This window comes from Homo sapiens, chromosome 5, assembly GCF_000001405.40.
Source record: "Homo sapiens chromosome 5, GRCh38.p14 Primary Assembly".
In the NCBI taxonomy this organism is placed as follows: Eukaryota; Metazoa; Chordata; class Mammalia; order Primates; family Hominidae; genus Homo; species Homo sapiens.
The window spans coordinates 145,941,450-145,953,795 of record NC_000005.10 but is presented as its reverse complement, the minus strand read 5'-3'; the positions used below and the strand labels follow the sequence as shown (position 1 = coordinate 145,953,795).

The 12,346-nt window shown below is 40.7% G+C and overlaps 1 protein-coding gene and 1 long non-coding RNA gene across 6 annotated transcripts in view, besides 1 other annotated feature; one reads left to right on the top strand and one right to left on the bottom strand.

Moving 5' to 3' along the window:
- The window catches only part of LOC107986458 (uncharacterized), a 131,758-nt gene that overhangs the window by 113,663 nt on the left and 5,749 nt on the right, over positions 1-12,346 (top strand). The gene's annotated exons all lie outside the window — the stretch shown is intronic.
- The window catches only part of SH3RF2 (SH3 domain containing ring finger 2), a 145,196-nt gene that overhangs the window by 127,978 nt on the left and 4,872 nt on the right, over positions 1-12,346 (bottom strand). The gene's annotated exons all lie outside the window — the stretch shown is intronic.
- Positions 2,434-2,634: a silencer, noted in NCBI's record as "peak5514 fragment used in MPRA reporter construct". NCBI's record gives its function as "represses an SCP1 promoter by STARR-seq MPRAs in K562 erythroleukemia cells {active_cell/tissue: K562}" and the evidence as "EXISTENCE:reporter gene assay evidence [ECO:0000049][PMID:32103011]".

The following is a 12,346-nucleotide window of genomic DNA, read 5'->3' as shown; positions in this document are numbered from 1 at the left end:
ACTTTTAAGTGGGAGCTAAATGATGAGAACACATGGACACAAAGAAGGGAACAAAAGACACTGGGGTCTACTCGAAGGTGGAGGATAGGAGGAGGGAGAGGAGCAGAAAAAGTAACTTTTGGGTACTAGGCTTAATTCCTGGGTGATGAAATAACCTGTACAACAAACCCCTGTGACATGTGCTTACCTGTATAACAAACCTTCACATGTACCCCTGAACCTAAAATAAAAGTTAAACAAGTAAATAAATTACCCAGTCTCAGGTATTTATAGCAATGCAAGAATGGCCTAACACAATTACCATGGTTTCTTTGTCCCTCTGCATCTTCCCCTGCAGCTTATCTCATGCCACTCGCCTCAGTGCTTACCACCCCTCAGCCACGTGGGTTTTCTCTCAGTTTCCAGAACTCAGATCTTGCCAAGTCCTCTCCACTCTTTGAGAACAGGGTCAGGATGTTCTCCCTCATTGGAACCCACTTCCCTGCCTTCCTCTCATCCTTCAGGTATCAGCATAAATGCCTCCCTTAGAGAGGTCTTTTTTTGACCACCCTAATAAAATATCTTTCCTTTTATCCTCCATTTCATACCCTTGTCTATATTTAGTTTATATAGCAGACACATTGCAATTTGCAATTATTTTTATTATTTGTGTGTGTGTGTGTGTGTGTGTGACAGAGAGAGAGAGAGAGAGACTGTTGGTGTTCTGCCTATATTTCTTCAGAGCCTTTACCATTTCTGTGCAATTCAGCTTCACTTCCAATAGCTGGCACCTATGATTTTGTTGAATGCCTTCTATTGAGATTCTAGAATGTACTTTGCCTTTGGGGGCAGCTCTTAACCAATGACAGGTATGAGGGTATAAATAACCCAGATCTCTCATCTCTTGGCCAGCACAGTTCTAAGGTCTGGGTTTTATACTGTTTCCCAGAGTTTCCTCAAAAGATTAAGCTTTACTGCCCACTGCAGTAGCTGGCCTCATAACACAGCTTTCTTGGCCGCCCTCTCTTCCCTATATGATGCCATCACTCCCCTGCCAATGTCCTTACGCCTCCCAGATAATCTATAAGCATTCAATCCTCATCTCAGGATCTGCTTCTGAGGGGAACCCAGCTAAGATTATAAACATTTTTGTTCCTTTTATCTATCCCATTAGAGTATACATTACACGTCTGTCTTGTTCATGGTTATATCCTAGAGCTTAGTTTAGTGTCTGACACATAGTGAGCACTCAATATACATTTGTGTAGTCAGTGAATATTAGTGGTTATTATTATTGAAATGTAGAATTTCTTCCTTTCACTGAGTTGTGTTACACCAGTAGCTTACCATATCCCCCACAGAATGTGAGATGTGCCCGGCAGAACTTAGAGGAACAAAAGTTGTTTTTTTTTCTATAGTGCTGTTAAAAGTAGCACTACTATTAAGATATTGTTTTAGCAAGGTTTGTTATGGTTAGAGGCTCTTTATGAGAAGGAATCCCAAGAAAGATTCTCTAGGATTGTGGCAATTCTTCCTGGTATGACCTGAAACCCCAGCATGTGGATACTTTAGAGATGTTTTAGGCAACAAAACCCCATTATGCTTATTTACAGGTGGTTTAAAGAGAGCAACTGAACCCTGGACCAGGGACCCTCAGTGGAATAAGATGGATACTTATGCAGAGAGAGTGGCAATAATAATATTAAATAATAGCAAAAATAATTAACATGTGCTAAGTGCATTTATGGGCCAGTCCTCAAGTGTATTTGTTAATCTCAGAACCAATGTAGGTGGTAGGTTACAAATTATTCCCATTCTTGATTAAGAGATTGGGGCTCAGGGAGGTTGACTTATCCAAAGTCATACAGCTATCAAAAGGTAGAACTGAGATTTGAAACTAGCTATTATAACTTCAGAGCCCCTGTTCTTACCTAGTGCTCTATCTTGTCCCCCAGGTTAGGAATACTTAAAACCAGTTCAATAGGAGAACTAAGCGAGGTAGTCCAGCCCGGAGAAAATAAGACTGAAAATAAGGTGTTAAAATAAGATGCAACCCTCCTGAGTTGCCTTCAAAGAGTGGCAGATGCCCATGGAAGAGTGGGCAGATGTGTTTCATGTGGCTTAATTTCAGGGAGACTTTTCTAATATTGCTGTTCAGAGGTGGAGGAAATAGTATGTGCCTCAGACACAGAAAACTTCCCCAAACTGGAAATTCAAATGGACTGGTTGTGTGGGCCTCTCAGTGGGAAGTCAGTGAGAGGACTGAAGCATAGGAGGGGTGGCTTGGAGGACCTTCAAGATGTCTTGCAGATGCGAGATTTTAGAATGCAAAGGAATTAGAAGACTCACTGAGTCCCTACGTATGTGGCTGGTACTATGTAGTTTCAGAGAACCAAGATGTAAACTGGTAACATGACTTGGGAGAAATTTACTAATGCCATGTTAATAAACAAAAAAGATATGTGCTATGCATACTCCTTGCATGAGGGAGGCAGAGCTACTGTGCTGCAAGATGAGCCAGCATAAGTGACAGTCAAGAATGTGTGCTTAGAGTCAGTCTACATGGGTAGCTTGCCCAAAGTACTCCCGAGCCTCTTATCTGTAAACAAGTGTTGCTCTGTGGATTAAATAAGCTTTTGCGGGTAAAGGATTTAGCACAGGCTCTTGAAGATGGTAAGCATTAAAAAATGTTAGCCATCTTTCTGAAAACTTTTAAATTTATAATTTTTTCTTAAAAACATAAATGCAAAGTTTCCGTATCTTCTGCATACTCTATAAAATATGAAAAGAGAAAATTTTAAATTTGGGTTGCTGGAATATTGAGACTCAGAGAATTTGAAACTTTTTCCATAACCATAGTAAGGCTAAGATTTATTAAGTACTCAGATACATTTCATGTCACATGGTTGGTTTTCAGCTAAGACAGGATTGGAAGCAGAGTTTCCTGAATTTCAGGCTCTATTTTTCCTCACCTACAATGAACTATTTTGCCTGTGCACATAATGGGTTTCTGTTAGGAATGAAATATATTTTGTCCTGAATCTGTTTACATTTCAGGAAAAGCAGATCAGTTCTGGACCAGAGCTTGTCATATTCGAGATAAAATCTCTCTTCCAAATATCCCTCCCTTGCACATTTGATTTCTGATTGGCTTCCCTCCCTTTTCTCCTCCTTCTTCTCCGGTTTTTATTTCTATTGTCCAGATCACATGTGTACCTTTTCTGCCTTTTTTCTTCTCTAGCTCCCTCTTTTCTCTCACTGAATTTCCCCTTCTCCTGTTTCCCTCTCTATTTACCTACACTGATTTTTATTACTTACATTCTTAAATTTCTGACCAAGAAGTACCCAGTGAAGACACAGCATATAATTAACATGGAGTTAGATTGGCTAGGGATTAAATCATGCTCCAGAAGCTCATCAACAACATTAGAATGGTAATGTTGGTGCCAAAGGATTCAACCAGCAATGGCAGCTAGTGCAGGGCTCCATGAGGTTGCAAAAGGGAACAACATACCGGTCTTTGTCACCTTGGTTAGAACCCAGCCCTTGGATTCAGGCAGACCTGGTTCAAGTTCTGACTCTGCACTTCCTGAGAGTTTCCTCATCTGTAAAGTGGGAAAATACCACAGACCTCCAAGGACAGTTGAGAGGATTAAAGAAGACATGTTTCTTTGGCTCAGTTCTGGGCACATGGTGTGAGCTACATGATGGTAGTAGTTATGAAGGTGATGATTAGCAACTATATCCACCTTTCTTTGGCTCCTTTCTTTCCTGGTCCCTCCCTGCATGCCCAATCAGTGAGAACAATCATTCCACTTGGTTGTGTTGGCTTGATTCTCCAGGCTTTGGGATAGCAACTGGAATGGGAAGGTAGGAATCCCAGGAATATCTCAGCTACAAAACTTTCTGTTGTGAAAAAAATCTTAGTGTTTGAAAAGCTGCAGAAAACAAGAACAAAACAATAAAAAGAAATATGTTTAACTGCAAATTATTTTTCTTTCGAATACAAAGAGAAGTAAAAGAGGGAGATGGTAAATGTTTCTTTTTCCCCTGTTAAAAATGCAGCCTCCTGCATCCTGGATCCTTTTTAATCACCTCTCAATAGGAAAAGAACACTGCTGTCTTCTTCCATTGTTCTCTCCCTCTGTTCCTCCTTCCCTTATGCATCAAACCAATCTACTCGGCTTTCTCTCAGCTGTGGGAATTCACCACTCTGAGGAGAAATTTGGAATCCAGAAGATTACCTCTCCTGCTTCTCCAGAGAGCTGGGAAGGGAAGTTTTCTCTTCTGCCCCTCCATTTCTCTGCCATTCCTGTTTATTAAGCAAAAGTCCCAGATAAGATTTACTGCCACTTTGCCTTTCTCATATCCAGGCAGCTCGTTAATATCACAGACGAACACCTTTCCTGAACACAGACCTGCAGAGTTCTATTCCTGCTCTGTGCCCTGTGATTCTGCCGTATCGCCTTGGCAACCAATTAAAATACTTTAATGTGTACAGCGATATCATTCTTAATTCTGCAAAAACCAGGGTGACCTGCTCAGAAGGCTTTGGCATGCCAGTCAGTTGGTGTTCTCCCTGGTATCTGGCTGCATTCTGGTTTGACTTCTTTTTTCACCTCCCAATTACCTCCGAATCCCCTGCAAGCACCTACGTGTCATTCCTAACACACCTGGCCTCAAGTCAAGCAACACCCTCATCAACAAGGCAGGGGCTGGAAGAGATCCTGAGGACAAAATGGCTGATATGTCTCCTTTCGTTTAGCCTCAAGGGAAGATACCAGGAGCTCAGCCACGAGGCTGGCTAATCTAACCGCAGTTTCTTGCAATATGGCAAACATTATGCATTCAATAATTAAGTATTTAATGAATGCTGATTGCATTTCAGGCCCTGTGTTAGGTACAAAGGAGGACAAGACACCTCCTTACCCATGGAGCTTATAGTCTAGTAGAAAAGAGACATGAACAGACAGCACTGTACAGTCTGTTACATGCTGTGGAGGCTGGAGGATAGCACTGGAGACTGGGAACCTGCGGAGGAACCTAAGACCAACCTGGGTTTGGGACAGAGGGCTGACTTCCGGAGGAACAGAGGCTACACTGGTACCTGAGGGTGGGTTGCCATCAGCCACATGGCGAATTTCCCAAGTAGCTGGACAGTTTTATTCCTGCCTTCTCTAACACTGGCAGTTTGTCTGATGCCCTCAGCTAGGTGGTCTTCTTCAGACACCCTGGGATTATTTGCCTTATTTCTCCTGTCTCCAGGCTAATGTTTTCCTAATAGGCTTTCAGGAAAGGGTGACAGTGAATGATCCACGTTCTCTTACATCTACTCTTGGTCCCTCTATGCTGTGCATGCAAGTGGCACCTGAGAGGCACATTTTCCAAAGCGAGCGGTGTTGGGGCCATGAGGCCAGGACTCACCACCCAACAACTTATGTGCCCCGCAATGCATTCTGAGGTTTGCAATCCTCAGTGTCATGGGTTTCTGTTGATGCCTAGTTTTAAAAAGTACAACCTCAAAATCTTCCCTAAACATTCCCACAACTAGAGGGATGATAAATTTTGATGTGTAATCATATTTTCCTATTTTGTTTTATTAATATTTACACTTACAGAACACAAACCTCTTGTATAAAGTGGAGATACCAGTAGCACCATTCTCAGTGGGTTGTATGTAGAGTTAAATGAGATTCTGTAGGTAGAGCCCAGTGAATGACACATAGTAAGTCCTCCATACATGTACTCTGTTTGTAGAGTTGACCAGTTCTTCATCTGTGCTCTCGTAACACATGTGAACACCCTTTATTTTAAGATTTATTAACTGCATCATGCATAATAAGTAAGATGCAGTTAATAAATCTTAAAATAACTTGAAAATAAAGTTTAAGTGGTATGTGGTTTACATAAAAGACCACAAGCTATTTGGTAATATTTTAAGTAGTATGTGGTTTACATAAAAGACCACAAGCTATTGAGGACATGGATCCTGTCTCTCTCACTTTTGGAGCCCAAGCAAAGGGACTTTACCCATCAAAGACATCTTATATGTGTCTGTTGAACAAGTGAGACCTGGGAAATATTAATAATAACAATGCCTGACATTGATTGCCACTGAGCTTACTATGAGTCAGGCCCTGTGCTATGAGCTTTATAAGAATTATCTTGATATATCCTCCAAGTGATGCCATGATTTTTATTATCCCCAGGTCTATAGCACAGGGAAATAGCAGTCCAACTGTGGTGGGCATGATAGCATGTGAAAAGAGAAACCTACCTGGAGGAGTACAAGGAGATAGCTAATCATACTGGGAGCTTATTTGGTGCCAGGCCCTGTGCTAAGCACTTTATAGGCATCATCTCATTAAATCCTCCCAATAACCATATGAGGTGAGCCTTACTATTTCTATTTCATAGTAACAATGATCAGAGTCACTAAGTAACTTGCCCAGAAACACACAGGCAGTACTCATGAATGGACAGCATTGTCTTGTAAACATTAAGCAAACATTGTCTTGTTTACTTGTATCATCAGATGTCTAAGGTCAGAAGCAGCAGAAAATTGGAATACATATTTTAAAAATAATACTAAATACCTATTCCTATTATTCAGAAATAATTTAAATATATATAATTTTATTTTAAATATATATATATATATATGGGAGAGGACAGAATGGAAAGTTATTGTTCAATGGGTACAGAGTTTCAGTATGGGGTGATGAAAAAGTTCTGAAGATGGATAGTGGTGACACTTGCATAACAAGATCAATGTACTTAATGCTGCTGAACTGAACACTTAGCAAAGGCTAACATGGTAGATTTTATGTTATGTGTATTTTACCACAATAAAAAATATAATTGTTGAAAAAACTGATAAAATTAGGGCTTTGGCAGCACAAGTACAGGGGCCATGTTTCTACTGGAAACACTGTCTTCCCTTCATATTGGAGGCCAGGTCAGTTCAACTCATAAACTCAGTGGCAAATTCTTTCAGAGCCTCTTCCTTTCTGTCACTGGTATCCCTATGACTAAGTGTCAGTTAAGATGAAGTGTTTCTCTCAAGATCAAAGAGCACATGAAATTTGTGGTGTATGATGTAAGAGTTTAGTCATATGCAGAGTGGCACTGCCTATCTTCTTAGGGTTAGCGACTCATGAGCTAAGAGATCTTGAAGCTGGCCCACTGTATTTTCCCGAGAATGATGTTCATCACCCAAAAAGGTATTTAATAAGGTGATTCACAGCAAGAATGTTTCAGTCACCACATGACTTTATGCCTAATATAGTGTGCCACTTGTTTCTCAAATAGCTCTGTAATGGCTCAATTCATAAAGGGTTCATTTCTGCATAATGAGGAGTTATTTCATGATCCCATGAGGTCTACCACAGGCATGATTGTGTTTATTTATTTACTCTTCCATTAAAAAAAATTCCTAATATGGGCCAAGCTGTGGGCTGGGTGCTCTGAGCACAGTATTCAGAGATAAGATGAGTTGCCTGTTTTGTTTGTACTCGGAAAAAAGATCGAAGAAATGACAGAGATCTGAGATGAACTCAGCTACTATTTGAGTCCTGGAGTCTGAGCTCATGAGTGTCCCTGGTGTGAGCTTTCAAGACAGAGCCTGGTACATAGCAGGCACTTAGGAACAGTTTGTTGAATGCTCTGGCTTCTGAGCTGGGGATCTGGGGCAGTGTGACCCTGGGGACTGGCACAGGCCCCAGATGCAGGAAGCAGCTCATGGTGAACAGATTTATCTTTCCCTGCTCATGTTATATCACTTGCTTTGGATGTTCTTGCTGGTGTTCATGTGTGCTAGGGGTTTCAGGTAACCTGACCATTTCAATGGAAAAGACTGGCTTTGTCTGCCAAGGACATGGAGACTGCTCCTCAGTTACCCAGTAAGCTCGGTCACCTGCTTGGAGTAGAGATAACTTCTTGTTTGGCTGCACTGAATCCAAGAAGTTGCTGTAGATACAGCTGATAGTCCTCACAATGGCAGGCAACAAGTCTGGCATGAGGGCTGCTGGAGAGACTTTATTACAGAGAATGCTTGACATGCGTCTTCCTGGTGGTATCTAGTCACCCTGATAGGAAGGCAAGTATCTAGTCACTCTGCCTCTCCTCTATCTGTTTCCTTCCCTTCTCTTTCAGCTTCAATTCTCATTCAAGATATCCCTGCCCTATCCTGCCTTTTCTAGGTCCACATGCCCAGAACAGACCCTGCCTTTTCTTCCCTTGACCATACACTTCCTGACTTTTAAAACATCTTTTTGTTTTTCTAGGAAGTTTCTTTTTATCAATCAAGCTTCATTTTGTTCAAACTGAATTGCCTTGCCACCTGATATTTTCATAAACCATCATTTCTTGAGTCTAAGAATTCTTTGTCTTAATCAAGTTTATGGGGTTATAATTTACATACAAAAATGTACCCAGTTTAAGTGTCTACTTTGATGTTTTCGTAAAACTATATACCATTGCATAAAACATTTTCATTATGCAAAAAATCACTATAGTTTATGGTTTTGTCTTTTCTACAATTTTACATAAGTGGAATAAGACAGTATGTACTCTTTGGTAAGACACTTCTTTTTTCACATCTTAACATTTCTAAAATTGGATGCATCCTACAGTGAGCATGTAACATAGTAGTGTTTCTCTTTCCCTCTAAGAACTATAACTAAATAGACAATACATCTTATAATGAATACCTTAAAATCAATATCAATATCCCTAATTTTGATACATGTATGTCTCTATATATGTATCTTTGTATACAGGTATACTGACTAGTTGGTTTACCAATTAGTCTTGACTGGTTTCTGCACTGAGGAGGTGAGAATCTTTGCTTTGCTGTGCAGGTTACCATAGTGCCTATAGCTGAAAACTGGTAGGAACTAAATAAATACTGCAGAGGGTGGCAATAGTGAGTTTCCAACAGTTTCCTAAAAATATCTTTTGCATTATGACTGAGCATGTGAACTCTGAGACAGCGTTTCTCAAATTTTGTTCCATGGACAATTAATATTACTAAGAGGCTAATACAAGAAAAGGGAGAAGAAAGGGGTGTCAGTGCCATAGAAATGTGGGAAATGTTTCTTATTAAGCTCTCACTTAGAAATTTACAATTCATCAGCATGGTAAAACGTGCAAAAAGTCCTGCAGCAAAGGGAAAATGTTTAGTTTTACTTTAATCTCAGGTTTGTTTGACCCTGGCACTGTGTGGCACACCCATTACAGAATTCACCATGTGAAAGGCTGGTCTAAAGTACAAGCATGAATAAATAGAAGGAGAAAGGAAGGGAGAGTCAGGTGTGGTGTGTGCCTGTAGTTGTAGCTGCTCAGGAAGCTGAGGCAGGATTGCTTGAGCCCAGGAGTTCGAGGCTGCAGCAAGCTATAATTGGGCCACTGCACTGCACTGCACTGTGACGGAATGAGACCCTGTCTCTAAAGCATAATTTAAAAAAAAAAAAAAAAAAGGGAAAAGAAATTGAGTAAAGTTGTCCAGGTTGAGTATCCCTTGGGACCAGAAGAGTTTCAGATTTCAGATTTTTTTTGGATTTTGGAATATTTGCAGAATACATACTAGTTGAGCATCCCAAATTGAAAAATCTAAAATCTGAAATTCAAAATGCTTTGATGAACACTTCCTTTAAGCCTCATGTCAGCACTCAAAAAGTGTTGGATTTTGGAGCATTTTGGATGTCAGATTTTCAAATTAGGGCTGCACAACCTATATCTGAGCTGGTCCCAGCTAAGCCAAAGTGATGTAACAGTGCTGGCAATGGGCCAGATGAGAATGCTCTTCAAGAGTCAAGGGCTGAATAGGCACATTTCTTCTCTCCTGAGACTTTTTATAGCATGAACGGACAGGTGGGCAGGCAACTTTTCCTAAGGGGAAATGAAACAACACAAAAATATATATTGGCTAATCCCTTAGGTAACATGTCCCTAATGCACACGGCAAATAATTGAGGTTGAGTAAGAAAAACCTTATGCCCCACCCATTGCCTCAGAGCTTAGGCCATCCTGTGGGGAGTGAGCTGTTTATTGGGTTTGTCCACTGCTTGGCCAGACACCTTTAACTGATAAAACAAAAACAAAAACAAAAACAAAAACAAAAAACTGAAGTAGGTAATGGAATGGCTGTCTACAACACGGAGGAACCCACTGCAGGGATTACCCTGATCACTTAAGTGATAGTGAAGTTTTTCTCAGAAATAGCATTGATCCAATACACATAGAAATGAAAGGAAATCAGAGTGGGTCAGGTGAATATCAGGCAGAGGCTAAAAGAAATGTGCAAGAACTTACTTTCCTTTCTTAAAATATTGTCATACGGTAAAATCGACTTTTGTCTCTTGGCATTTATTTGTATAAATTTTAACACATACATAGTTTCATTTAATTACTACCACAATCAGGATATGTAACAGTTCTATCACCTCATTCTGCCCCTTTTTGGTCCCATCCTCCCCCAGTCCATAACCCCTGGCTACCACTGACCTATTTCTCATCACTACAGTTTTGTCTTTTTGAGAACTCCCTTTCCTTTTGCAGTACTCTTTGGTTCCTTTTTTTTTTTTAATGGAGATCCCTGCATGTTTCTGTGTGTGTGCAAAGAACTCTAGTGCCAGCTGACTTTCTCTTCCATTGTTACTCTTTTGTTATTTACTGTTGCTAACATTTATTAGCTTCTGTTATATGCCAGGCACTTGTGCTAAGCTCTTTATATATATTATATATATGTATATCATTTTAATCTCATTTTAATCATTTTAATCTCACAATAGCTGTATGATATAAGTATGCCTTTATTATTCCTATTATATAAGTCTAGAAACTGAGGATCAGAGAGGTTAAGTGACTTGCCTAAGGCCACACAGCTAACAAACAATTGAATCCTGGCACAAATACAGCCCACTTCACCATAAATCCTTAAATGCTACAGTAAGCAATAAAAGAGAGGAGACTAACTAGAAAAGAGGTACACTGAGAGAGATTGAAGGCAGTGCCAGTGTGGGGCCATGTGGTTATTAAAAATGTTTGTAAATGTGTGTGAAGCTGGAGAACCATCTGGGTCTCTTGACTTCTCAACCTTAGCCCCTACCTTTATGTCTTCCTCCACCTACTACATATGGTCCTTGCTGTCCCAGATGGCACCTATCTGCTGTTTTCAGGGGCCTGGGATGATTTTAATCCCCTTGCAAATTTAGCAAAAACCCCACTGTCTGTATCACAGCTCTATTACAGGACACAACCTCTGAGACTCAGGAAAGGGGCTAGTCCACCTTCTGGTTTCTACCCAGCCTCATTCCCTGATATGTTTTCTGACCTCATTTTTTTTCCCCATCAGTTGCTTGCAACACCAGCTGAAAAGTTTCTAGGACAAAGCCACCTGGTCTGTGTGCTGGAGGTGGCAGGTGTGTTCTTGCTGATAAGGGGCAAGTAAGACAGAAACGTGTGTGACTGGCATGATGCTAGCAAGGTAGGGAGAAAGTCCATCCCTACAGAACCCATGGCAATATTTGTGTTGGGGAATAGAGTGAGAAGCAGGAAAAAACGAAAGATAAAAATGTTAATAAAGAATTGATGATGCGGAGGAAGTAGACCAGGTTCTTGCCCTGTGTATGGTTTTCCTTTGAAGGTGCTGTTTGGGGAAAGTGAAGTTAGTTAGGGAGTTTTCTCCTAGAATGGATCATAGTGCCTTAAGGGTTCTGGAAGTGAGCTGCGAAGCCAGCACATGCTGGGAAGAATCACACATCTGAATCATGGCCACGGATCATGTGGAGGCAAACAAAACAATGCAAAAATCAGGGTACCAAGGACCGTCTCTGGATGGCACTTGCTTAATAAGGGGCTGAAAGGGTGTGTGTAATTTAGAGTAGAAAGTATTGAGTCACTTCAACAACAACCACAGCTAACATTTACTGAGCACTTAATATGAGCCAGTCTCTGTGCTAAGAGCTAAGTGACATGAATCATCTCACTTATTTCTCACAACAACCCTCTGAGGTAGGTACTACCATTATCTCCAATTTACAGATGGGGAATTGGAGGACCTGAGGTTTAAGTGACTCACCCAAAGTGCAGAACTGTTGAGGGGCAGAGTCAGGATTTGAATTTGGGTATTTCTCAAACCCAAGTCCACAGATTCATAACTTCTCTGCTTTACCACCTATCCTAAATCAGAAATATTACTAAAGTGTAGCAGAATGAGGAAGAAGAGAGATCAGCTATTCAGGAACCTACAATCCTTTTGAAGGCTTGCCAAGTTCCTTTGCTTTAACTGTATTAGGGAAGGAATAAGAAGAACCAGTGGAATTTGCACCACCAGGACCTCTTCCTGGAGGAGTCTGGTGATCTT